At 52.1% G+C, this 27,227-nt stretch overlaps 1 protein-coding gene across 5 annotated transcripts in view, besides 3 other annotated features; it reads left to right on the top strand.

Annotated features, from left to right (window-relative positions):
• MED27 (mediator complex subunit 27) overlaps positions 1-9,890 on the top strand; it is a 219,756-nt gene extending 209,866 nt beyond the window's left edge. For 3 of the 5 annotated variants that reach the window (NM_001253881.2, NM_004269.4, XM_017015329.2), the window contains 2 exons: positions 6,862-6,939; positions 9,330-9,890. In NM_001253881.2, the coding sequence (NP_001240810.1) occupies positions 6,862-6,939; positions 9,330-9,464 (213 nt within the window). In that variant the 3' untranslated portion in view covers positions 9,465-9,890. Of the gene's footprint in view, positions 1-617; positions 4,788-6,861; positions 6,940-9,329 lie in introns of those variants that run through there. The other 2 variants (XM_005272236.4, XM_017015330.3) reach the window with 1 other exon arrangement.
• Positions 13,435-14,382: an enhancer, noted in NCBI's record as "H3K4me1 hESC enhancer chr9:134731007-134731954 (GRCh37/hg19 assembly coordinates)". NCBI's record gives its function as "activates a minimal SCP1, AML or CMV promoter by ChIP-STARR-seq in naive H9 embryonic stem cells {active_cell/tissue: H9 hESC(naive)}" and the evidence as "EXISTENCE:reporter gene assay evidence [ECO:0000049][PMID:30033119]".
• Positions 13,586-13,880: a silencer, noted in NCBI's record as "tiled region #13276; K562 Repressive DNase matched - State 12:CtcfO". NCBI's record gives its function as "represses a minimal TATA promoter and a strong SV40 promoter by Sharpr-MPRA in K562 cells {active_cell/tissue: K562}" and the evidence as "EXISTENCE:reporter gene assay evidence [ECO:0000049][PMID:27701403]".
• Positions 14,383-15,332: an enhancer, noted in NCBI's record as "H3K4me1 hESC enhancer chr9:134730057-134731006 (GRCh37/hg19 assembly coordinates)". NCBI's record gives its function as "activates a minimal SCP1, AML or CMV promoter by ChIP-STARR-seq in naive H9 embryonic stem cells {active_cell/tissue: H9 hESC(naive)}" and the evidence as "EXISTENCE:reporter gene assay evidence [ECO:0000049][PMID:30033119]".

Genomic DNA, 27,227 nt, shown 5'->3' with positions numbered 1-27,227 from the left:
GGTCTCTTGAAAGAGTCCCTACTCCCTCCCTAAGCTCCATTCTCTCCTGGGTTTGGATATGCTGAGAGAGGGTAGGGAAAACTGAAAGGAACATTGATCAAGTGGACTGGATCTGTTGGCAGGCAATGGAGATGTCACCCTTCTCAAAGTAAATCACTGCAGGTCACCATTGAGACGGGACACACCCCAAATGAGGCATCTGAGACTTCTCTGCCTTGGGGTGAACCAGGCGCCTCCCAGTGAAACCCCTCCCTGCATCACCCTCTGCCCCTCTTTGTGAGGCCTGTCTCCCCATCCCCGCATTCCTCTTGCTTCAGGGACCCCTGCCTCACTGGTTTATTGCTACCCTCCTGCCTTCTCCTCCCTCCCTTTCCTTGGGCTTGCATCCCTTTGATGTTTTTACAAGCCTTTTTTCAAACCTGCACTCACTGGTGGGTGAATCGCCTCCCTCTCCTTGGGAGCATTAGTGCCCTTCCTGGCCTCCGCCAAGGGGGAGGGCGGCTTTTATCTCCCAGCGGAATCTCATTAGCTTTGCCGCACAATGGGACCGAACCTCGGCTGCCACAGAGTGGATTTAAATTAGTTAATAGCAGATTTTTTTTTTTTTTTTGCCCCAGGCCTGTTTTTTCCAAGTCTTGGATGCTGAGCAAAAAAACAACTTTGTTGTTGAAAAATGTAAAACAAAAAAATATTGAAGGTGGAGTGCTTTGACAAGACGGAAGATCACTGTAGGTGAAGTTCTCCTGTGCTCCACAGCCACCCAGAGGAATTCCAAAACCAGCAGTGGAGGACTTGGGGAGGACAGGAGGGAAAACATGGCGAGTTCATCAGCTCTGTTTCCTTTATTAAAATATTTCTGTAATTGGTGGTGGGAAATTGAAGAAATCAAGTGATTGCATCAGCGCTGGAAAAAGCTGCCAGCACTTGGCAGTGGAAGAGAATATATGCTTTATACTGGACTTTTTGAAAAAGAGGCTGAGTTTGGCCAGATTGCCGACCAGCAATGGAAAAACTAATTAGGTGCCTTGCCTGTGAGCCAGACGCCCAGCAGGGCTGTGGCGCATGGCTCCCGCCGCCTCTGAAGAGGACACTTTCTAGTGAATTCAGTTCGTGCTACCCTTGAGCAGCCTGTGCTACAGCAGGCACATTTGTGAATCTCCCAGCCTGTGCCTGGCGTCGGAACTGTAGCTTCCCAAAGACTTACCTGCCCTGGGAGATGGCGGGCAGCTGCTGGCCACAGCCCTGGGCCTGCACCTTTATCTGCAAACTGGGAGAGCGGGGATGGGAGTCAGTGGGTAGGAGGTGGGCAGAGGCCTGGGCCTCCCAGTGTTCGGGCTCCCACACTGCTGCCCTCACCCACTATGTGCATCTTCCCAACTTCTGGACATCCTCACTCCTCCTCTGTCCAATGTAAATCAGAATAGTGGGCCGGGCGCAGTGGCGCACGCCTGTAATCCCAGCACTTTGTCAGGCTGAGGCAGAAGAATCACTTGAGCCAGGAGTTGGAAACCAGCCTGGGCAATACAGTGAGACCCTGATTCTACAAAAATAAAAAATTAGCTGGGCGGGGTGGCGTGAGCCTATAGTCCCAGCAACTCAGGAGGCTGAGGTGGGAGGATTGCTTGAGTCCAGGAGGTCAAGGCTGCACTGAGCTAAGATTGGGCCACTGCCCTCCAGCCTAGGCGACAGAGCAATACCCTGTCTCAAAAGAAAAGAAGAAAAAGAAAAGCACCTATCTCCAAGTTAGTGTGGGAATTAAATGAGAGGGGCACATAGGACTTGGCACATAATAAGCTCTTATTAATAATAGCTACTATAAGTTAATAAAATATCCGATGGATCTTTTAAAAAAAGCACTTTTCAGAAATAAGGAAAAACCCCCACTCCACAAGCACCCGTTGTGAAAACCCTCCACCCTGGCACCCCACAGTGCCCACTGTGAAACTGGTACCATTCATTTTGATTCATGAGAAGACAGACTGTCCTTCTGATTTGTATTTCTTTGTTTCATGGCCCAGAATCAAATGCCCAGCCCTCTGGGGGCCATTCTCCTGTAGTGCCTGGGATATGCCCCAGCCTTGCCACTCAAAGCCCAGTCCCTAACCAGCAGTGTGGGCACCCCTGGGAGTCAGCTGGCAGTGCCAACGCTCCACCCCTCCCCGAGCTCCTAGATGAGAATCTGACAAAAGACCCCCAGTGATTGTGTGTTCACCAGCCTCGCATTCTCATGCATTTTAGCATCCCTAGGAATAGCCTGGAGGGGCTGACTTAGTGTCTGGGCCCCACCCAGGAGATTCCAATGCTGTGGCTAGAGAGGGGCCCAAGAGGGCAGATTTCTAACCAACTCCTAGATGGTGCCAGCACCGCTGGTCCCCAAACATTTCAAGCAGCACCATTCTTAAGGGGAAAATTCCTTGGCCGCAGCTCGAACTTGCTGTGCCACCACTGTAATGGGATTGGGAGACCTGGCCAACATGGTGGCCCATTTCCTAGATGTGCAGTGAATATCCAAGGAGGCAGATTGGTCTGCAGAGAGGAGGAGGATGCTGAGTGACAAACCTCCTGTAGTTCTGCACAACTCAAGCTCATTTCTTCCTCACATTACATATCCATCCTGAGTTTTGACGGGGCTGTGTCACTCAAGGATGAGTGACCGCTGGTAACTTCTACCACAGAGGGCAAGTCCAAGATGCCCCAGCACCTTAGAGGTAGACCAGAGCCCAGGTCCTCAGCTCCTGTCCCGCAGTCCCCACTCCTTTCAGGCCCCTGGCTCCACCCACCTCATCTGAGCCACTCTCCCCGCAGAGAGTCAGAATGGCGGTCCTTCTCACCGTCTGCACACATGACCTGAGGACCTCTGCATCAGGCACTAGACTGACATGGGCTCAAGGTAGGGAAATTGACACGAAACAAACATGGCAAAAAATACCAAGTTCAGATATGAGGATTGAGATGGGAGAAGAGAGCCAGGCAAGGAGACAAGCCCCATCGGGGGAGCCTGGGGGGCTTCCCTCAACACGCGAAGGAGAGGGGGAAAGGACAGAGGCCCGTGCTGAGGGGAGGACTCAGGGAGGACAGAGATGGGCATTTGAGGAGCTGAGGGACCCGAGGAAAGGAGGCAGACACCGGGTGCTGCAGGGTTTCACATGGAGTTCACAGTTCGCATTTCATCCTGAGTGCAGGGAAAGCCATGAGAGCGTTTTAGGGGAGTGACATACTTGGGTTTCTAGTTGAACGATGGCAATCACTCATGTTTTCTGACCAGCACACGCTTCTGCCCACTACTTCACCCTCACTGTCATCCCCTGTGGTAGGCACTCTGTCATTATCCCCATTTTCCAGATGGGAAAACTGTAGCTAATAAAGATGAAGTGCCTCGCCCAAGGCGTCACTGCTAGAAGGGATGGAGCCCACGCTCTTTCCCTCTTTGCTGCAGAATGTTCCCTCTGAGCCGTGTTGAGACAGGCAAGATGGGAAGAAGTAGAAGGATTTGAGATAGATAACTTGGAACCACGAGGCTGCTTGGGTATGAGGCAGGGGGAAGAGAGGCGACAGGGCAGGGCCCAGGTTTCTGGCTCAGGCCTCTGGGTCAAAGGCCATTTAGCAAAAATGCTGGAGGAGGTGCAGGTCTGGAAGACCACTTGAGATGTTCCTGTAATTTGCACGACGCCTTGCCTGGAGAGAGCACCTTGCAGTTATCAGTACTGAGTTGTCTTGGAATGCTTGGAGAACTCAAGTTCAGCCAGAGGAGGTCAAGTCCAGAGGTCAGCTGAGGAAGGGAGGAGGAGATGGGCACAGATCTGTCAGGCCAGGGAAGATGAGCTCAAATAAAGATCAGGAAGCCAGGCCAGGTACCCAGGGAACAGCAGGCTGGGGAGGGTTTGGGGAACCTGGGAGTGCAGGGTCTTGTTGGTTTGGTTAGAGGCTCTAAACTCCAAAGGCCACAGGGCCCCTGATGAGTGGAGTAGGCTGGATCCAAGACCCTAGGGTGCTCAGGCAAACTGCACGTGTCACCGCTCCTCAGCTGCTGCAGCTGGTGGCCACGTGGCAGTGCCAGGGTCACACTCACAGAGATGAGGAGAAGCTGGGCCCCCTTTGATCTTCACAGTAGCCTATGAGATGGTCCCCAGATCCTCCGATGCTTCAAGAGGAGCTGGGCACCACAGTTAAGTGAAGTTTCCTAAATTTTAAGTGTTGGTCATTTGTGTTTAAAAATGTGAAAACAAAAGAAATAAAAGTGCAGCCAGACAAAGCCTCTCTGCCTGCACATGGCTGCTGAAAGGCTGAAATGGATGGAGGTGGTCTCACCCAGGGGATCCCAGGGACTGACGTTCCTATCGCAGGGAAGGTGTCACACACGGAGCTACGGAACAGCAGGGCCGGAGCAAACAAAGCCAGCCCAGCTGCCTCGGCTATTCCAACAGGGGCTACACTGGAGACATTTTAAAAATAAAGGGGGTGAGGGGAAAGAATTCTCCAGAAACTTTGGTTCTTCTGTAATGGCAAGTATAATTGCAAAAAACATCTTGTCAGCCTGTAAAATGACACTTTCACAGGTTTTCTTAGCAAGGGAGCTAGATGGGCAAGAACCAAGCGTTCAAGTTCGGGGACCGTTCGAGCCCAGTTTGCTTTGCTGTGTTTCGTAGCCATTAATGTCCCCCCGCCAATTACCACCAGTCATTTTGCAAAGTTATCATTACTACTGTTTAAAAGAAAAAAAAACATTGCTCATTTTAGAAAGCTGTCTGTCAAAAATGCTTAAAATAAAAGCAGTCTTGGCATTCGAAGGAATAAGTACCATTTATCTTGAAAGCCACTTGGGTAAGAATTTCTCAACAGTGTTGGCTACAAGAACCGTTGATGTATTTGCAAGAAAGCGCAGGTGTTTATGGTACATGGCCTTTGGTGGGTGGGCGTTTTTAAGTTTACTTCTTTATTCAGCAAATATGTATTGGGCACCTGCTGTATGCAGGGTAATATCCTAAGGCCTTGGGGATGCAGTATGGGGCAGGCCGTGAAAGTCCAGTGGGAAATAGGGCAAGTCCAGGGCCCAGGCAGAGCAGAAGAGGAGACTGGGCAGGCGGGGCTGGTGGCATTGCCAGAGAGTGAGTGCTTCCCACGCCTGGCCTCACTCTGTCCTCTCACGAGCCTTACTCAGTATGCAGTACAGTCTCCATTTTATGGAAGGGGAAACTGAGGCTTAGAGAGGCCCCCATAAGAGGCCAGGGGCCGGGCCCCGGCTTGCCTGGCTGCAGAGCCGGCGTCCTCACGTTTTGTGGGGCAGCCTCTCCAGCTGCAGGTGTGGACACACATCACCGTGCGGGGCGCGGACCCTGGTCTCCACCTGCCCAGCTTGCTCTGCGCCTGCATGGGTTCAGCCACATACACAGTGTTCATTGGGGGTTAGAAAATGAACACGTCTACACAAGTTAGACCTATGTTCATTCTTCTCAAAGCTAAGGATTTTCTCTGGAGTTTTTTGGGTTTTTTATTTTAGGTGTGGTTTTTTCATTTTGTTTTGTTTGAGACAGGTCTCTGTCGCCCAGGCTGGAGTGCAGTGGCACAGTCACAGTTCACTGTAGCCTCAACTTCCCAGGCTCGGATGATCCTCCCATCTCAGCCTCCTGAGTAGCTGGGACTATAGGTGTGTGGCATCACAGCCAGCTAATTTTTTGTATTTTCTATAGAGGCGGGGTCTTGCTCTATTGTCCAGGCTGGTCTTGAACTCCTGGGCCCAAGTGATCCCCCCTGACTCAGCCTCCCAAAGGTCTGGGATTACAGGCATGAGGCACCGCACCTGGCCTGTTTTGTTTTTAATGATGACATGTGCGATGTCAAGAATCCCTAATGAGGACAATCATGTAAACCATTACTTTGAACATAACTATCAAATTAGGTATAATCTACTCATATGCTGATTGACGGCGGGCATTAACAATTCACAGTGTCATCCAGTTTCAGAACCACCAGGGTTCTGAGGCCAGCCCCTTTGCTCCTTGGAAGGGGCATGGAGACGCAGAGAGGATAAGGAGCTGGATCCAGGTCAGGGGGTGGTGCTGGAGCTTAAACCCTGTGCTCTGTCCATCTGGTCACCTGATGCCTTCACTGGACTTCAAGCAGCCTTGCCCTTGGCCTTGCTGATAAACTTCTCCTGAGGAGTCAGGAGACAATAGGCACAGACCCCTAAGGTGCTGACCATAGGCCACAGCCTTCAGAGAGCTGGTGAGGGGACCACACCAGGCGCGCCGGGCTCCTGCGAAGGGCCATCCTAGCAACGGTGAGGCCCAACAGAACAGCCTCAGAAACTGCCAGGCTCCCCATCATAAATCCTGTGTGGCTCAGAAACTGCCAGGCTCCCCATCATAAATCCTGTGTGGCTACAAATGGTGACAGAATGAGAATTCAAGGAAATGGAAAGAGACCAATTGCCCTGTTGGGAAAACCATCGCAGGAGGAAGAGGAAGTGTGCGTACCGGGCGGAAGTGCTCCTTGTCGTATGTGCTGTGTGTGCCGCGCCTTGCTGAGCAGGGAGGCTTGGGATCCCCTCTGGGATCTGCCCCCACTGGCCTCTGGCCGCTCCCTCTGCCAGTGCTCCAGCCTGGCCAGGCTTTCCGTTGCTGGAATCTTCCACACGCCCCCTGCCTCCAGGCCTGCATCCTTTCTGCCGACAGCATGCCTCTTCTCCCCCTCTGGGTCCCCAACTCTGCTAACTAATTTTTCTACAGAGATTTTATTTTAGATGCCCTTTCCTCCACGAGATACTCAGATCTGTTTTCACACAGAAGGCGTGCATTTGTCCTGCTTGTTTTCTCTATGCCAGCTTGGAGTGGCCGCTAACTCGTCTTTGTCCTTCACTCTCAGGTGACAGACCATGCCACCACTGCCCTGCTCCACTATCAGCTGCCCCAGATGCCGGATGTCGTGGTCCGATCCTTCATGGTAAGTGGCTTCAAGAGTCAGGTCTCCTGTTTAAACCTCAGCTCCCTTCAAGTGAGAACAGGGAGCTTGAAGGGCAGCCGTTGCATCTTCAGACTTTGAGGGCCTCCCAGTGGGAGATGGGGCTGCCAGTTTAAAACTGCTACTTTCTTTAAACTGCGAAGGGATCTGGGAGAAACCACTTCCAGCTTCATTCACTGGTGCTTTCTCTACTTGCTGAAAAAGCGGTGGTTTCAGAAATGATCTTCCAAAATAGTTCCAGCATTGACTTAGTCCACAGATATTTCATTGAGCTCCTAATCTGGGCCAGGCCCTGTGGTTGGCACAGAGCATGTAGCAGTGAATTAACAGATCGTGCAGTTTCCCAAGACGTTTCCTCCTTCGATTTTCGGAGTTGGAGCTCGAGATGATAGCAGCCCCAAAGCAGCCATTCCAATGGGGTGCTGCAGCCGGCTCCTGCCAGTGCCTGTTCAGTATCTTGCGAGCTGGTTCTTCAACCACTACTAGTTTGAAATCAAACTTGGTGGGAGTGTTGACACCACGGAAATCGGCAAACACTGCAAGTCAGGACTTCCCCCGAACCCCAGGGCCAGTTTATCAGCATTTATCACGCCGCCACCAGTTGGCCTAAGCAGGGCTAACACCATGTCCCCGCGTCCTTGACAGACGTAGCCGCCAGCTGTTCCACCGTCATGCTCTCACGCCAGCATGCTCACACGGCCGCATGCTCTCACGCCAGCAGACCCCATCATCCACCGCTGCTGGGACTCCCTGTTTTCTTCATGCTAGAAAGTCTGCCGGTTAGAGAACCGACTCCAAAGACCTGTTAGCAAGGCCAAATCAGTGTGCATCTTATCACATGGCATCAACAGTGCCACTGCTCAGAGAGCCTGGAGTTCATTCCTCAGAAGACACATCCCTGGTGCGTTGATTGGCTTCATGATGCTGGCAGAGTGGGCACAACACAGCCAGGTGCTCAGAGCTCCCACAGAGTGGTCCTTCTGTGTGTCCAGGGAACAGTTCCCCTGACCATCTTCAGCAAGAGCTCCAATTTCAGATAGATATAAAGACTTGCTTTTGAGCCTAACACGTTGTAATGCCCCCTTTCCCTTTGGTAACTGACTGTGGGATTTAGGGAAGATTTGAATCCCAGTGACTCCACTCAGGAGGCTGAAGCGGGAGGATCGCTTGAGCCCAGGAGTTCAAGGTTACAGTGAGCTATGATCGATTGCACCACTGCGCTCCAGCCTGGGTGTCAGAGCGAGATGTGGTCTCATAAAAAAAAAAAAAAAAAAAAAGAACCATTTACATCTGTCACAGCACTCAGCACTGTGCTCAGCCCACACCAGCTAATTAATACGAATCTGTTGATTGATTGATTTGAGGCACAGACATGAGTACTATTTGTGGCAGAGACAGAACTTCTTCTACTTAGGGAAAAATAAGTAGTTTAACTGAAGGACCTCTTGACCTCGTGTTTATTGCCAAAACCCCCAAACACCTGGCCTTTGGAAAGGGGGACAGTACTGATGGGCCATGCCCTGTCACCATGAAGGCAGCTGTGGTGAAGATGGAAGAATGTGTATCAATAAGCTCGGCCAACCTCTTCAAATAACAGTTTTCTCTTAATTCAGGAGGACATTAAATGACAAGATTCACGTGCCCTTTCACCGCGAGAACTTGCTTGCCTGCTGTTTTACGTTTGGGTATTTTTTTCTTTGGTAGTGAATCTCCTTGTGTTTGAGAATTGAGTTACGGGAGGCTCATCCTTATGTATGACGCCCAAGAAAGCTCTGCACTCTGAACCATTCAAGTGTGGATTTGCTGCTTATGATGTTATTTGGTGGCACCAGGGCTGTCCCCACCCCTCCCCCCAGTATGTCAGGCCACACTGTGACAATGAGTGACAACCTCTGAAATCAGATTAGCTAGAAGGCATGTTGACCTCCGCGGAGAACTCTGGAATTGTCCTCGGTTCCAAGGCTTCCTCAGCACACATGCACAGCCACCTCTTAGTAGTGGGCAAGGAGAAGAGGATGGATACTGACATTCAGAAGACATGGGACCCAGAAAGTGAAAGTGGGGTGCTGGCCCCCAGACCACCAGGCTGCTCGGTGGTTCACGGGGACTCCAGGGAGGCCTTCCTGCTTTTGAGAGTAGGGGTTTCTGTTTTCAAAACTCCTTCGGTTAGGAGGGGCACGCGAGCATCAGACGTGAACATCAGCAGTCAGGTGACCTTGTGGGTTCCGCCTGCTGCTCCCTGTGAAATCACAGGGCATCTTCTGGGGCCAAAGCCAACTTAAGTTGTCTGGGCCATTAGGCTTGATAGGAAGGAGGACTTTGGGAGCACCCGTATCCCATTCTTTCACTTCTCTCCTCGTTTCTCTTTTTAGACCTGGTTAAGAAGTTACATAAAGCTGTTCCAGGCCCCGTGCCAGCGCTGCGGGAAGTTTCTGCAGGACGGCCTTCCCCCGACATGGAGGGATTTCCGAACCCTCGAAGCCTTCCATGACACCTGCCGGCAGTAGCCCCCACGCTGGCCCCAGCCTCAGACCCCACCCAGCACCTTCCCAGACACGCAGGAAGCCCACAGAAGGCTCAGCTGGTTCCTCACTGCCCAGATGTGTACAGCTGCTCCTCCCTTTCATAAAGCAGCGCCATGTGTGCAGAGGCCACTCTTGAAGAGCAGACTCCCTCTGTGGCTGATGGGACTAATTATTCCCACTAGCCAGCGGACTGAAGGCAAAGAAGACCTTTCTAGAACCTGGTAGAAGGAAGCTGTGCAGCATGCTCCTCGTCCATGTGTGTCGGCAGTGCTGGTGTCTGTCGTCTCCGCGAGCTGTTACTGGAATGAGCCCTTGTGTTCATGGGTATCGTCATGCGGGGTTCTTGTGTTTTGTGGGGCTTGGGTTTTGGTAACTTATTTTTATAAGCAATAAACCTTTTGTATCCTGGATAAGGCTTTGTCTCCTGTTTGTTACAGCACCTTATAAGTACTACACATTCAGTTCATGAACACATAATGGACCTGGGCCTCTTGAAGAAGCAGAAACCAGCACGTCCCATGTTCACAGGGTGGTTCTTTTTGAGCACGTACTGCCCTGCGTCCTGCTTGCGGGCGAGAGGGCAGTGCTGGCAGATCCTCTATTTCAGAGACGCTGTGATGGCTTGAAAAATGAATGATTCCTTTTGAGAAAAAGAACATGCAGAAGTTTCTTTTTACTAAACCAGTCACACGCATACCCCAGAGGGAAAGGAACCTGCCCGGGTTAGCCGGCCAGATGCGTGTGAGCAGGACTCGCAGGGGTGTCGGCTTGTGGGCCCCAGGTTTTGTCCTAAATATTACCATGACTCGATCCCAGCCCCATCTCCCGACTTTGTTCAGTGCCTCAGCACCAACTTTTAAAGACATGGCCTGTTTCTGTGAAGATCGTTGACCTGGCGAAGGGCTTGAGGAGGGTGGTGGCATCGCCCAGAGCCAGCCTGGCCAGGCCCATGCTAGAACAATGTTCTCTTTGCCGTGAACAAAGCGTCAAGAGAGATGACACCTTCTGAGATGTCCAAAAGAACCAGTGGGTCCTCCCTGGCTTCTGGTACCACCAGCCTTCCCCCCGCCACCCCTGGCCGAAAAGAGCCAGAGAATGGAGAGGGTTTCGTGCTGAGGGCTCTAGGACAGTGCCTGCCCACGTGGCATCCCACCTGCAGCACTGCCACCGTGGACGCTTACTAGAAATACACATCCCCAGGCGGGGTGCGGTGGCTCACACCTGTAATCCCAGCACTTGGGAGGCCAAGACAGGTGGATTACTTGAGCCCAGGAGTGCAAGACCAGCCTGGGCAACATGGCAAAGCCCCATCTCTACAAAAAAATACCGAAAAAATTAGCCAGGCGTGGTGGTGTGCGACTGTAGTCCCAGCTACTCGGGAGGCTGAGGTGGGAGGATCGCTTGAGCGTGGGAGGTCGAGGCTACACCTCTGCACTCCAGCCTAGGAGACAGAACAAGACCCTATCTCAAAAAAAGAAAGAATTACACATGCTCTGGGGTGGGGTCCAGCAACCTGATCTTTAGCAGCCCTCAGGTGACTGTCACGTGCCCTGGCACCTAAGGCCTCTGCCCAGGAGGAATGGTCGTGCTTTGATGGCCCACTCGGGGAAGTGGGAGGGGCACACAGGGTAAGGCAGGACTTTTCCAGACCAGGGGTGGCTGTAGATTAAACGCCACACCTACTTTGTCAAATTCAAGATGCCAGTGCTCCTAAGATACATCATTACTAACCACTAATAAAGAAAAACATGCTGCCAATTAAACCCTGGTCTTGATAATCCTGTGTGACACGTGAATCCGTCACACCAGCCTTTCATTGCTTTGACGTTTCTTTCATCTATTCCAAGGGAGCAGTCATTTCTCCTGCCTTAAGTCTTATTGTTTAGCCTGTGATAGGCGATCCCTTTACCCAACTCCCAGTAACAGACCAGCACACAGCTTCATTGACTTGCTGTATCCTTTCTTTGGTCTTGTAAGACACTTGTTTCTTTCTTGCATTGCAAGAAAAGATGGAATTGAGGATATCGGGTACATAATAACAGTTTGTCTCAGTGCCGCACATCTTTCCAGAGACATTTAAAAGGCAAGTAAACTGACCCCGTGCAGTATGAACGTTGTGCACAGCTCATGCGAAGTGACGACAGTATGACCAGCTATGACCAAGTTGGAGCATGTGCAGATAGTGGCACGCACGTCGTGACTGCCAGCTGGCAGACGGCACACGCCAGAGACGTTCAAATGGGGAAAAGCATCTATCTGAGGATTGATGGATTTGTGGTCCTGGTAAATCTCATTGTGAGAAAGTGATCTGGGTTTTTAACTGTTTGAATCCTCCCAATTTGCAGCAAGTCTGAGAACATCCCCATTGGGCACTAAAGGTCGCTCCAATTCCCGCCAGTCTCTGTTTTCAAAAGAGAGAGGAGCCTTGAGTTGACAGCCTCAGGCAGGCGCTGTTTCTACTTGGAACTAAATGCGCTGGTTTTGTCTTCTCTGTGTCGTCCTCAGAGAAACCTTCTGTTTATCGCAAATGATGGCAGTTTCCCATTTACAGGGGTGATACAAAGTGTCCATTTAAAATAAATTTATTTAGGTGAAAAAGTGTGACTGTTAAAGAAAAACATTAAATAAATAATAGCACAGGAAGAGTGGCTATGACAGAAAGTGTGAAGGATGTGGGCAGGTGGCGGGGGGCGGACGCACTGCCCAGGCCTGCATCCCAGCCTTCTGCTAGCGGTGGCAGGAGCCTAGAGAAGTGGCTTCATCTGAGAACCCCATGCCCTCATCCGTGAGGCACAAGGCTGGTGATTCAGTGATGGTGGAGGGGCTGGGGGCTTAGAGATGGAACAGATCGGCTGTGCATTGGTCACAGGGAGGCTACGCAGTGGGGATGCGCGTGTTGCCTGCTGTTCTGTTTTCCTGCTTTTTGACAGTCCCTAATTAAAGAGGGAGGTTGAGGCCGGGCGCAGTGGCTCACTCACGCCTGTAATCCCAACACTTTGGAAGGCCGAGGCGGGTGGATCACTGAAGGTCAGGAGTTCGAGGCCAGACTGACCAACATGATGAAACCCTGTCTGTACTAAAAAAAAAAAAAAGCCAGGCATGGTGGCATGTGCCTGTAGTCCCAGCTACTCAGGAGGCTGAGGCAGGAGAATTGCTTGAACCCAGGAGGCAGAGGTTGCAGTGAGCCAAGATTGCACCACCGCACTCCAGCCTAGGTGACAGAGTGAGTGAGATCTCGTCCCCTGCCCCCCCCAAAAAAGGGAAGTTTGGAGGAAAACGAGCCTGAGCAGCTAGCCTTTAAGGTCTTCCCATCTCTGACATTCTCAACCTTCAATCAAGGCTGAACGGGAGTATATTTGAGATCCAGAAAGGGGAGAGGGGCTGAAAGGGTGATGGGTTCATTTGCCAAACACTCAAAAGCTGGGTACTCCAGGAGATGAACCTGAGGGAGGCCGGCTTTGTGTGTCTCCCACTGAAACAGAATGCACTGACCTGAAGTTGACACAAATAGAGACCAAGGTGAGTTGGGGTCAGTTCTAAGATGGTGGACTGCGAGGGAAGCCAGAGACGCCGCTGCTGTGAGGATGGTCACCAGGCCTCAGAGCCATCCTTTGGTGCCTGTCACTGAAAGGAACGTGGCCATTGATGGGTGCTGGTTCACCAGGGGCAAAACATGAGCTAGACTGTCCAAGGGTGGGCCAGGTGCAGTGGCTCACACCGATAACCCCAGCACTCTGGGAGGCTGAGGTGGGAAAATGGCTTGAATCCAGGAGTTCAGGACCAGCCTGGGCAACATAGCAAGACCCCATCTCTACAAAAGAATTTTTTTCAATTAGAAATAGACTATCCAAGAGGGACCTCTAGGCCCGACCTACAAGGTATTTTATGGGACTTAATTAGGGCTCCTGCAGTGCAGCCCCTCTGCTTGCCAGGCCCCCTACGCTGTCGGCTAATGTAATCCCCGGAGTGGGGTGGGGGGGGGGTGTGGTGTTTTCCCTGTTTTATAGATGAGAAGCCAAGCAGAGGGGTTCACACAGCAGCACACGGAGGGGCTGGCTGCCAGGCTGGCCACGGCCGAGCTCTGGGGCTCCTCAGCAGCAAGGGACTGGCCCTGCCGTGCCCGAGTGTGCCGCATCGAACGTGGCCTAAGCCAGAACCCTCAGCCAGAACTTGACCCCTCTGTCTTGTCAATGCTTCCCATGGCCACCAGAGGCCGGGACGCCGTTACCCCACGCTGTCTGCTGGCCGGGTTACCCCGTCTTGCCAATGCTTCCCGTGGCCACCAGAGGCCGGGACGCCATTACCCCACACTGTCTGCTGGCCGGGTTACGGTGAATCCCCCGGGTGCCCAGTAGGAACTGACAGAATGGAGCGAGGAGGTCTATGAAAGGTGGTCCAGATTTTTTTTTTCTGAACTAAATTGGGAATTGGCCTTTTGGTACAGAGTGATGTTTTTCCACTTCCCACCACTGACTGCATGAAAGGCTGATCTTTCCGTGTTAATGTGCAAACTCACCATTGCATTTAGGGTGTCAGAGTGTGGGCCTGCTGCTACATCGAGAGCCTTTTAAGGGCACTGGAATTGGGAGGGGCAGGGACGACACCAGGATTCTCACAAGATCTGGAGCCCCTGCAAACCTGACGGGAGGCACTGTTCGGCCATCAGGTCTGTGGGTAGAAGACAGAAAAGGACAAGGTGCCCTTCTCATCTGTGCCCCCAGCCTCCACATCTCCAGCAGCATGTGGAAGATGATGGGGAGCCTCATGGTTCCGGGCCTGATGGGACAGGGTGGGCCAGCCCCATTCCACCTGCTCACCTGCTGAGTCCACTCAAGGCCGAATGATCTGCACGTCCAAGATTGTGGACAAGAGGCAGCGGATAATTAGGCTTCACTCTCTAGGACACGCAGGCGGCCTCTTTCCCCAGTCTCTGCCATCCCTCCCCCACTCTCCTTCCCAGCCGGGTCCTTACATCCGGGGAAAGGAACTTCAGAAACTCACTTTCAAGTTGAATTTTAAATTGCAGGCTGCCTGTGCCCTGTTATTAGTACTTGAAGAGCTAAACCTTGAGGTTCACAGCACATCCCAGGTAGAGCACTTGGCAGCTGTGCGATGATTAGTTACTCAGGAGCAGCTCCAGCCTGTCTCGGTGCTAATTGAGTTTGAAATTTCAGCTGCAGATTGACTGTCCTCGGTGTGAGCCGCAGTTTGGCGCTAAGGGAACAGGCAGGTCCTGCTGGCAGCGGCTTCATCTGCAGCGTGCTCCTCTCGGGCTTGATAGAGACAATGACCTATGCCTCCAGGGAAGAAGGGACAAGGGAGGGGCTGAGGCCAGGGGGACAGGGAGAGGAAACTGAGGCCACAAGCTGGAGAGCCAGCCCGGGACGGCAGCAAGCGATCGTCAGCACCCGCCGTGCTCACACCCTGCACTCGGGTGGGATGGACTGTTACTTAATGCGTTACTCATCTCAGCCTTGGCTCTCATCGGCATCATAGGCTTGCTTTCTTAATTACAAAAGGAATCCATATGTTCCTTTTGTAGGAAATGAGGTAATGTGAATAAGCGAAGCAAAGGAAATAATACCCATGATTCCCACCAGCAGGAGCTCATCACTGGAGCACTTTGGTGCTCACCTTTCCAGACCCTCCTATGGACGTGTTGTTGTTGTTGTTGTTGTGGTTTGTTGTTGTTGTTTTTGCAGAAAGATGAGATCAGACTGTGTACTATTTTGAAACCTTTTTCCCATTTTAGCAAAGGCTAAGGTTCTATAGCACAGAGGTCCAAAAATGCAGTGGCTTAAAGACAGCAGACACGTTTCTCCTCCACTTAAGAGCCCCACCAGGGAGTGGACAGCTGTGCTCCACGCAGTCATTTGGGAATCCTGCTCTCCCATCTTAGGACATTGTCACAGGCACCTTCCAAGTCTGCAGAAAGGGGAAGGCACGTGAGGAGCACGTGCCAGTGTTTTAAGTCCCAGACCCAGCACTGGCCCACGTCAGTTCCTCTTGAATTTCATTAGCAGAAACTTCGTCACACAGCATACCCAGCTGCCAGGGCTGCTGGGAAATGCAGTCTCTAACTGGGCAGCCATGGAGCCATCTGCGACCCTCACTCTGGCCGAGGGGAGACCCCTTTCTGATGGATGAACAGCAGCCTCCACCACACAACATGTGCTGAGCCTCTTCCAGTCTCCGGGAGTGTGTATCAGTGGTGCTGTCCTTAGCAGCTTGTTTATTTCTTTGTTGTGTCCATCCTTGGGTTTTATGTTACAAGGGTATTCCTCTATTTGGTTGCATACCATAATGCATACCATACTTACCCAATTAATCTCCTGTTGGATTTTTTCACTTTTTATTTTGAAATAATTATAGATTCACAGGAAGTTGCAAAGAAACATATAGGGAGGCTCCATGTACCCCTCATCCAGCTTCCTCCGATATTAACATCTTGCATAACTAAAGTACAGTATCAAAACCAGGGGACTGACATCAGGGTGAAGCAGAGGTTATTCCAGTTTTACCAGCTAGACATGCACTCGTGTGTATGTGTGAGTGTATGGCGCTATGCTATATATATATATATCTTTTTTTTTTTGAGATGCTCTCCTCTGTCACCCAGGCTGGAGTGCAGTGGTGCAATCCCGGCTGACTGCAGCCTCAACCTCCCAGGCTCAAGTGATCCTCCCACCTCGGCCTCCCAAGTAGCTGGGACTGTAGGCGCACACCACCATGCCCAGCTAATTTTTGCATTTTTTGTAGAGACCAGGTCTTGCCATGTTGCCCAGGCTGGTGCTCTGTACAATTATATCACATGTGTAGCTCTGTGGAACCACCATCACCACCACAACCGAGATGACTAACGGTACCATCCTTACGACTCCCCATCCTACCCCTCTCTAGCCACACACACCTCCTCTTCCCTCGCCTAACCGCTGGCAGCCACCCATCTGTTCACCATCTCTGTAAGTATTTCAGTTCACCATCTCTGTAAGTATTTCAGTTCACCAGTGTTATATACATGGACTCACACAGTATGTGTCCTTCTGAGATTGGCTTTTTTTACTTACCATCATTTCCTTGAGAGTCATTCAAGTTGTTCCACCTACCAGTATGTACAGTCCATTCCTTTTCATGGCTGAGTAGTGTGCCATGCTGTACATGTACCACACTTTGTTTAACTACTTATCCATTGGAGGACATTTGGGTAGTTTCCAGCTTGGGGCTATTACAAACAAAGCTGCTCTGAGCATTCACGTACAAGTTACTGCATGAAAATCAGTTTCATTTCTGTGCCTTTATATATAAGCCTTTGAATCTTGTTGCTGGGTCGTATGGTAAGTCCATTTTTAGTTTTAAGGAACAAACTATTTTCCAGAGTGGCTGCAGTCATTTCCATTCCTGCCAGCAGTGTGAGTGATCCAGTTTCTCTGCAGTATCACCAGCGTTTGGCGTTGTCAATATTTCTTCCGTTAACCATTCTGATAGGTATGTAGTGATGTCTTGTGTCTTTTATTTGCATTTCTCTATTGGCTAATAATGTTGAAGATCTTTTTGTGTGCTTATTTACCATCTGGTGTCTTAAGCAAAATGTCTCTGCGTGTCTTTTGCCATTTTTTTTTTCAAGACAGAGTCTTACTCTGTCGCCCAGGCTGGAGTGCAGTGGTGCAGTCTCAGCTCACTGCAACCTTGGCCTCCCGTGTTCAAGCGATTCTCCTGCCTCAGCCTTCCAAGTAGCTGGGACTACAGGCATGCACCACCACACCCTGCTAATTTTTTGTATTTTTAATAGAGACAGGGTTTCACAATGTTGACCAGGCTGGTCTCGAACTCCTGACCTTAAGTGATCCACCCACCTTGGCCTCCCAAAGTGCTGGGATTACCAGCATAAGCCACTGCGCCCGGCCATCATTTGCCTATTTTCTAATTGATTTTTTTATGGTGAATTTTGAGAGCCCTTCCCATATTTGAGATACAAGTCCTTTGTCAGTTTTGTGATTTGCAAGTATTTTCTTCCAGTCCTTGGCTTGCCTTTTCCTCCTCCTCACAGAGGAGATGTGTTCGGTTCTGACAAGGTCCAGTTTACCCATTTTCCCTTTTATGGCTCATGCCTTGATGTCAGGTGTAGCGTGTTGGGTTCAGTGAGTGGTGAGTGGTGTTCTACTGGAAGAACGTGGTCGCTCTCTCCTCCCCGCCACCCCACGCACTCAGCAGGGACTATGGATACCTTCTAGTTCATCCGTGCATTTGACGGCATCCATGTCCAAGGCCTGGAAACATGCTTGGCTCACCCAGCAGGGGCATGACAGCATGAAGGCCAGAACCAAACCCCCCTCAGTCAACGTTTCACGTCCCCAAACCCGTCTCAGGGTAACACTTGACCTACAGTGTCAAGATGAAATTGACTCTGCAACCACACAGGTGAGTGAAAGAAAACATTGGCGGCAGCAGGTTGGTTTCCACAGCCCGGCCCCAGGCCCAGGTCATGGTGCTTAGAGGAGGAGCCTCAGCTGAGAATGAAGGGTGCCAGGGATGCTTCTCCATCCCTGTCATGGGCAGCTGCTGCGGTTGGATCTGCCCTGGGAAGGGCAGGAGAGGGCACCTCGATGGTCGGGTGCAAGAAGCCACTGGGTCAGCAGATCGCCCGGCCCTTCCCCACATGTTCAACCTCTTGGCCTCTGGGCTGCTTTCTCCACCTGGAACATTCTTCCTCCAGAAAGCCACGTGGCTCACTCTCTGACTTCCTCCAGGAAGTGAGCTTACTAACCGGGCCGTCCCTGACCACTCAGGATAAAAGTGTGCACGCCCTGTCCCTTCCTCCCCCAACTCTGCCCCGTCCTTCTGATCTCCCCGCACACTGCTGGTAACTCTCTTATCATCTGTCTCCCCAAGTGTCAGCTTCTGCAGGGCAGGGGCAGCATCTGTCTTGCATGCTGCTCTAGGCCCTCACACACAGCAGGTGCTCAATAAATATCTGCCGACTGGAATGGAGTGAGAATGCCAGGCTCAGGTTTCTGGTATGCTCCTAAATTGGTGGCCTTGGGCCAGTAACTTGACCCTTCTAAGCATGGATTCTACATCTGTCAATTTGGCCAGTGAGTCTAGCCCTTGGGTGTGGAAGTCCTGAACACCAAATGTGTATTGCACGGCCCCTGTGTACAGGTGCTAGGTGCCAGGGTTGCAGTTCACGTGTCAGACGAGCAGAAGATCAGAGAGCGAAGCCCACCTTGTGTGCGCAGGCGAAAGTGTGGATGCTGTAGGGAGGTGCTCATTCACGTGGGACCCGCTCCATCTTCCGTGGAACAGGGACACTTCTCATGCCTCCCTTCTTACTCTGAGGAAAGGATTCAGAGAAAGGAATCCAAGCTGGGTACAGTGGCTCACACCTGTAATCCCAGCACTTAGAGAGGCCATGGTGGGAGAATCTCTTGAGCCCAGGAATTCGAGACCAGCCTGGGCAACATAGTGAGACCTCATCTCTACAAAAAAAAAAAAAAATTAAATTAGACAGCCATGGTTGCACACACCTGCAGTCCCAGCTACTTGGGAGGCTGAGATGGGAGGATCGCTTGATCCCAGGAGGTCAAGGCTTACAGTGAGCCATGATTGCACCACGGCACTCCAGCCTGGGCAACAAAGCGAGACCCTGTATCAAAAAAAAAAAAAAAAAAAAGGAAAAAATAAAAGAAAGAAAGGAGTCCAGGAGGTGTATGGGAATCCCACGAGGGCTTCCTCTCTGTAGACATGAGACATCTTCAGCTGTGGGTCGCGACCTGTCCTCAGCACAGGGCCTTACAATGCCACTTAGAAAGTGCAAGGGTCTCACTTGAACCCAGGAGGTAGAGGTTGCATGCAGCGAGCTGAGATCGCACCACTGCACTCCAGCCTGGATGTCAGGGCAAGATCCAGTCTCAAAAAAAAGAAAAAAGTGCAAGTGTCTGAGACTGTGGTAGAATCATGGGCACTGCCCCGTTTTCCTGGGCCTCTCTGCATTTCTGTGAACACATTGCATCTTCCTGCCTTGATTAGAACGCAGTCCCTTTTTTGCCGTGGCTTTTTGATATTCGACTTTGCACGCGATGCCCCTAAAGCTAATAGGCACTGGCCTTTCCTTTCCAAAGGGTAGTTGGTCAAATTAATGATCGCCAAAAGGCCATAATTAATTTGCTCTCCTTTCTGTTTCATTCCATTAGTTTGCAAACCAGCAAAGTTCAAGAAAACTTCTGAGCATAAAAGAGTAGGGATCTCATTAGGAAGCAGACAGGTAGTTCTAAAATTTTTCAAAAACTCTGGGGCCATAGAAAAAGGGGCAATTGTGAGCCTGTACCAGCAAGAGACGCCAATTCACTGAGTGGCAACTTCGTGTTGGCAGCTGGCTACGTCCTGGCTGCAGACAGGCGCACACTAGGCCTGGGCACCCTGTAAGGGGATGAACGTGTGACCCTCAGCCTGTCTCGTGGCAGCTTCCCCATTTCATCACCTAGGAGACTGCAGCTCAGGGAGGTTCTAGGCAGAGTCAGGATTTGAACTCAAGTCTGATGGGCTCTACAAGCCTGGATCCTTGTGCCTTGGCTTCATGGCCTCTCCTAGGAGCAGAAGGTAGCAGAGAAACAGGGCTTCCCACCGGGATTTCACAGAGGCTTGCTAGTGATACTTAGAAACTTTTCAGCAACGTTTACTATGCTGTGGTAGCAAAGGCTGGTGAACCCAGAGTTTAAATTCCAACACATCCTCCATGCACTTTATACACACTCATCCTGCTGGTCCTCAGCGGTGACCAGGCTGATGTTGTTGTACAATAGGCCTCTCTCACCAGAAATTGGGAGGTTCCCACAACCCCTTTCTGTACACTGGGCCCAGCACCATGCCCTCTCGGATGAGGAGCTGCAGCAGACGCACGATCGAACCACGGCCGCCCTGGCGAGAGATGCTGGGCTTGCCTGGACTGGGCGCTCCGGCCGCTGCGGTGAGAGACGCTGGGCTTGCCTGGACCAGGCGCTCCGAGCAGTCAGCTCTGCGCAGCAGCAATGGTGTCTAGAAAGGTGTTTAGTCGGCCGAGTGTGGTGGCTCACTCCTGTAATCCCAGCATTTTGGGAGGTCAAGGCAGGTGGATCATTTGAGGTCAGGAGTTCAAGATCAGTCCGGCCAACATGGCAAAACCCTGTCTCTACTAAAAATACAAAAATTAGCCGGGTGTGGTGGCAGGCGCCTGTAATCCCAGCTACTCAGGAGGCTGAGGCAGGAGAATCAGTTGCTTGAGCCTGGGAGGTGGAGATTGTGGTGAGCCAAGATCGCGCCACTGCACTCCAGTCTGGGCGACAGAGTGAGACCCTGTCTCAGAAAAAGAAAATTTAAAAAAGGCATTTACTCTCAAAGGACAGACCCGTGTCCCAGGCAAAAAGAGCAGAGGACAGAAGCTGGAGCTGTCGCACAGCCGGCCCTTTGGGGACCTAGACGTGGCTCCATGTGTGGCAGGCGGGGTGGGAGGCGCTGGGCCCTCCCCGTGGGCAGTGAGGTTTCGGTGCCATGAGCGCCGCCCACGGGCAGTGCGTTCCTTCCCCGTCACCCACGGGCAGTGCGTTCCTTCCCCGTCGCCCACGGGCAGTGCGTTCCTTCCCCGTGGCTGCTGTAATAATTGACCACAGCTGCGTGGTTCACGCAGACAAACGTATTCCAGAGTCCCAGAGGCTGGAAGTCTGCGGCAGGTCTCACAGCTGACACCAGGGACAGCAGGGCCGTGCTCCCCTCTGGAGGCGCTGCGGGGGACTCCATTTCCTCGCCTTTCCCAGCTTCTAGAGGCCACCCTCATTTCTTGGTTCATGATCACGGCCGCTCCCTCCCACAAAGCCAGCAGGCGTGGGTCGAGGCCTCACAGCCGTCACTCTGACTCCCCTTCTGTCTCCCTCTTACCCCTTTAAGGATGGTGGGGACGACGCCAGTCCCACCTGCATAATCCAGGCTATGTTCCCTACTCAAAACTCCGCGGATTGGCATCCATCCGCATCTCCAGCGGCAGCCTGCCTTCCCTCTTGCCGTGTAACCTAATATACTCCCAGGTTCCGGGGCGTAGCAGACACCTACCGGACACCCTGGGGACCACCATGGGGGCCACTGAAGGCTGCTGAGCTCACGCCAGAGATGCAGGGTCTCACTTTGCTTTGAGGGAACCCGTCCTCAGCGTCCCATCAGTTCACATCCTTTGATTAGATTGGCTCGAATCAAACTACCCCTCCCCACTGCACCCCAGGGTAAGGAGATCCAGGCCAGTCTTAGCGTCAGAGCCACCCACACACACACACACGCGCACACACACACATGCACACCACATACACACACATGCACACACACACCACATACACATATGCACACACACACCACATACACACATATGCACACACATACCACATACACACATGCACACACCACACACATGCACACACACACCGCATACACACACGCGCACACACCGCATACACACACACATGCACACACACCGCATACACACATATGCACACACACATGCTCACACATACATATGCACACACACACACCACATATGCACACACATGCACACACACCACATACACGCACACACACCACATACGCACACACATGCACACACACCACATACACGCACACACACACCACATACACCGCATACACACATATGCACACAAATGCACACACACCACATACACACGCACACACACACCACATACACACACACCACATACACACATGCACACACACACATGCACACACACATACCACATACACACTGTGGCAGGCCCAGGGATGGGCATGTGGTCTCGCCCCGCCAAGGAGACACAGTTACACCTGAAGGGGATGTCCTTCTTTTCTTCCTGCTGTGGGATATGGAGCAGTGTCTTGGACCAGGAAGTGGGAATGGAATGTCTTGGGCGTGGAGCCCACCCTTCCAGAACAGATAGGACAGACTGGGGGGTCTGAAGGCACCGTGGGTCCTCAGCTAGCCCTCCCCACCCACCCCCGGGTGTAGACAGAAGAGAGAAGCCTCTGCCTGGTTCAAGGCACCGTGATTTGGGGCCTTCTGTCCCTCACCAACTAACTTGGTTCCAACTCATACACCCCCTGTGACGGGCTCTGTTAGCACCTACATCTTGGGAAAGTGCTATTTGTCCATGCACGCGTCTGATCAGGGTGTGTGTTACCCACTGGCAGGTTTTCAGCGCATAGTGGGTATATATTCAGAGCCCAGGGTTTCCTGGCTGGTTCACTGTTAACTGGGGGTAAAGAGGATGAACTCTGCTTATCCTCCCCAAGCTGTGCAGCCCAGGGACCCCACGAAGGTCCTTGCAGCAGGGGTGGAGGGGCGGCCGGGGGACCTCTTACTCAGATGTGATCAGGTAGATTTTTGTTTTCTGTCTGGATGAAGTTTGCTGTTTTTACATGTATCACATCACGACTGAAATGTCACAGTTTGTGTGACTAATCCCGTGTACTTTTAACATCCCGCCACGTGACATTTTCCCCCTTCAAGTGGGGACTTACGCTCCCTGTCATCCTTCTGTCCCTGGCGCTGTGCTCAAAGTCAATGTCTTCTTTTGACCTAAGATGTCGTTTTTGTTCAGGCTGAATGTATTTTAACCGTAGGACGTTGCAGAATCTGTCGCTTCCCTCCCCAATGGTCACGCTTCCATTCTTCCTTCCTAATAGAGCTCCCAATTTTAGCCTGGGTTAAAGACTTCATCGACCAGCTTCTTTACAATTAGGAGCGGACTCAGGTTATGCACAACTTTTGGGAGGTGCGACTCAGGTTATGCACAACTTTTGGGAGGTGTCCTTAGGGGAGTGGTGGGAGGAGGGAGGTCTTTTCTGCCCCTTCCTCTTTCTTGCTGGCTGAAGTGTGGACATGATGGCTGGTGGTTAAGCAGCCGTTCTAGACCCTGAGGTAGAAACCACATGCTGAGGATGGCAGAGCAGGAAGATGAGAGGCTGGCTCACTGGCAACTTGAACATCCACCTCTGGTCTTCTCTTGTACTGGAGGGAACTAAGTTATCTGGTTTAAGCCACTAATGTTCTGGGTTTTCTGTCACGTGCACCTGGATTTGATCCTACTTGTCACAAGGGTGTCAAGTGAAAATTGGTGTTTTAAAACAATCCACAGTAGTCCCCTTACAGAGGAGCTCATCGAGAGTCTCAGCTCAGGCCGGGCGCAGTGGCTCACGCCTGTAATCCCAGCACTTTGGGAGGCCGAGGCGAGCAGATCCCTTGAGGTCAGGAGTTCGAGACCAGCCTGGCGAACATGGTGGAACTCCGTCTCTACTAAAAATACAAAAATTAGCCAGGCATGATGGCGGGCACCTGTAATCCCAGCTACTTTCGAGGCTGAGCCAGGAGAATTGCTTGAACCTGGGAGGTGGAGGTTACAGTGAGCAGAGATTGCGCCACTGCGCTCCAGCCTGGGCGACAGAGCGAGATTCTATCTCAAAAAAAAAAAAAAAGTCCCAGCTCATTGCCAGATTTTGTTCTTGACTGTGGTGTTCACCACAGTTACACCCAAGGCCCAGCCGGGGCTGGGGCCCCCTCCCACTCGCCTCTTGCTGGCTGTCTTCCCTATGATCATTAACACCCCGGTTCCACCCGAGTCTACCAGCCTCTCTTGCACCCCACATGATTTCAGTTTCTGCTGGTGTTTAACACTGGTAAAGGTTATCAAATCCATCTTTAGTCAAGAAAAGCAGTTTAATGAGCGGGTTTCTGCCTCATGAAGAGAAAGGCCGTGTGCACGTGTGTTACGTGCTAAGTTTCAGTCAGCCCGTGGCTCCCCGTGTCCTCCTTGCCGATTTAATCTCTTGGTCAGTGTTGGACAAACAGAGCAGGCTGTTTCCTCATTTTCTCCTCCCAGGCCTCCCCAGCCCCCTTCATGCATTTTTCATCGACTCCTTCTGCCTGGGAAGCGTATTGATTGGCTGATTAAGCCATCAAGTCACAGCCAACAGCTTTCATGTTCTAACCCCGGGCCCTGAGTTCTCTTCCCTCCCTGCCACTGTGTTCCCCGCCTCGAACCCCTCCAGCCCCGCCCTGATGTTGCGGGTGTGTTTGAATCATCAAAAGATGAACTGTTGAGAATCCAGGCCCCTCCTTGGATGATGCTTCACCTGTCACCTGAACAGAATACCCCACAACTTTATTATCTTCTTTTTTTTTTTTTTTTTTTTTCTGAGACAGAGTTTCACTCGTGTAGCCCAGGCTGGAGTGTAGTGGTACAATCTCGGCTCACTGCAACCTCCACCTCCTGGGTTCAAGCGATTCTCCTGCCTCAGCCTCCCGAGTAGCTGGGATTACAGGCATGCACCACCATGCACAGCTAATTTTTGTATTTTTAGTAGAGATGGGGTTTCACCATGTTGGCCAGGCTGGTCTTGAACTCCTGACCTCAGGCTATCCACCTGCCTCGGCCTCCCAGAATGCTGGGGATTACAGGCGTGAGCCACTGCGCCTGGCCAATTTTATTATCATTTTTAATTACACCTCTAGAGAGGACCCCTCTTTCAAGGACCTGTTTAAACCCAAACTCCATATTTGTTTTATTTTGCTGCAAAAAATAAATAAATAAATAAATAAATAAATAAAAGTAAAAATAAAAATTACCCCAGAACTCAGCAGCTTAAAGCCACAAAGTTAATGGCCCACAGGATCTGAGGGTCAGGGATTCAGGAGTGTCTTCATTGCCTGGCTCTCTGTCTCCTACGAAGGTGCAGTCACAGAGTCAGAGGCCATCATCTGATGCACCCCTGAGTAGGCAGCTCCCCTTCCCAGGTGGCAGCACCCGCGTGGCTGTCGGTAGGAGGCCTCGGCGCCTCACCATGTGGGAGTCACCATCTGAGCGTCTGGAGTGTCCTCCCATGTGGTCATGTGGCCACTGACCCCTGCAGGTGAGGAATCCTAGGGAGGGCCGGCGGCCAGCCACGGTGCCTTCGATGGCCTGGTCTCGCGTGTCCACCGTCACTCTGCTCCTTTTCTGTTCGTTAGAAACGAGTCACCAAGTCTGGCTGACATTCAAGGGAAGTGCAGCATTAGGCCCCACCATTGGATGAGCAGACCCAAGGATTTGAGGACACATTTCAAAGTGTCACCCTCCGCCCTCTGGCCACCGAGTCCTGCATTTCTTCCCGTGCAAAATATCCTCGCTCCCCCTCCCAGACGACCCCAAAAGTCTCAACCCATCGCAGCCTCTGTTCCGAGTCCGGGATCTCATCCAGGTGAGGATCAGCTCCCCGGGACTGTTCCTGGGTCAGCTCCTCACCTGAGAGCCGCTCCACCTGAAGGCCTGCACACCGAGAGCCAAGCGGTCAGCCCCACAGGCCCTGCACCCACAGCAGGGTAGCCTGGGGTAACCGCAACAAACTCCCCCATCCCTCGCTCCTGGCACAGCACTGGGCACCTGGGGCACCGCCACTACCCAGACAGTGAGTGAGGGAGCCAGGGAGGGAACAGCCTGGGACTCAGATGCAAAGACGCATGGTCAGCTCCGGCTCGTCACCCAGATCCCAGCTCACTTGCAAGCACCAAATCAACCATGAGCTGGGGCCTGACTCCAATCACCATCCTGACACCCTGGCACCCTCTGGAATGACTCCAGCTTCTCCTGGGCGGGGGGGCCAGGGAGCAGGGCCTGATCCGCCTTGTTCACTGTGTACCGTGCACCTAGAACAGGACGTGGCAAACAGTAAGTGCTCAATAACTGTTTGTGGACTGAAGGAATGGAGAAATGGAATAGCCAATAATCAGAGTTGCCGGGCAGGGCAGCCTGAGGTACAGTCCCGGTGCTGGAGAAATTGGGACGTGGACTGAACATTCGATGGTGGCATCGGCGTCTATTTTCTGGGGCGGGATGATGGAGACTGTCTGTTAGGAGCGCACCATGTTCTCAGCAGGCACAGGCTGAAGTGTGACGGGGAAGTGCTATGGTGGCTTCAGCCTGCCTGCAAGGGTTTAGCGGGGCAGGGGTGAGAGAGAGAGAGAGAGAGCGAGAGAGAGCAAGAGCAGGCAGGTGCACAAACGTGGAAAATGTGAACAGTCGGTGAAAGGAGATGAGGATATGTGAGGTTCACGGACTCAGCTTTAAACACCTCCATAGGTTAGACATTCCTCACCTGATGACATCTGGGTCCTCCTGAAGCGTTTAATGCTCCAGGAACCAGCCACCCTCTCATGCTGGCTCTGAGGGGGCAGAAGAGGGTAAACAGGCATACAGAAGGCACACCAGGCCAGGTGCGGTGGCTCACGCCTGACATCCCAACACTTTGGGAGGCCAAGGCAGGCGGATCACCTGAGGTCAGGAGCTGGAGACCAGCCAGGCCAACATGGTGAAACCACATCTCTACTAAAAATACAAAAATTAGCTGGGCATGGTGGCGGGCGCCTGTAGTCCCAGCTACTCAGGAGGCAGAGGCAGGAGAATCGCTTGAACCCAGGAATTGGAGGTTGCAGTGAGCCAAGATCATGCCACTGCACTCCAGCCTGGGCCACAGAGCGAGACTCCATCTCAAAAAAGGGCGCACCAGTTTCCTCAGAGGCCTCTGGGGCCTTTGGAGCCTTTTAAGACAGGTACAAGGTTCGTAAAACTGCCAGGCGGCAGCGCAGAGGCCTGCAGAGGAAGTTGCACACCACGGACAAGAAAAGCCTCTCCCGCAGCCAGCCTGTCAGGAGGGGCGTCTCGGGGGCAGGCGGCCCGGCCTCCCTCACCCAGTGCAATGCCTGGC

This window comes from Homo sapiens, chromosome 9 (assembly GCF_000001405.40).
Source record: "Homo sapiens chromosome 9, GRCh38.p14 Primary Assembly".
Taxonomy (NCBI): Eukaryota; Metazoa; Chordata; class Mammalia; order Primates; family Hominidae; genus Homo; species Homo sapiens.
The sequence above is the reverse complement of the archived record's forward strand: the minus strand, read 5'-3'. Positions and strand labels throughout refer to the sequence as shown.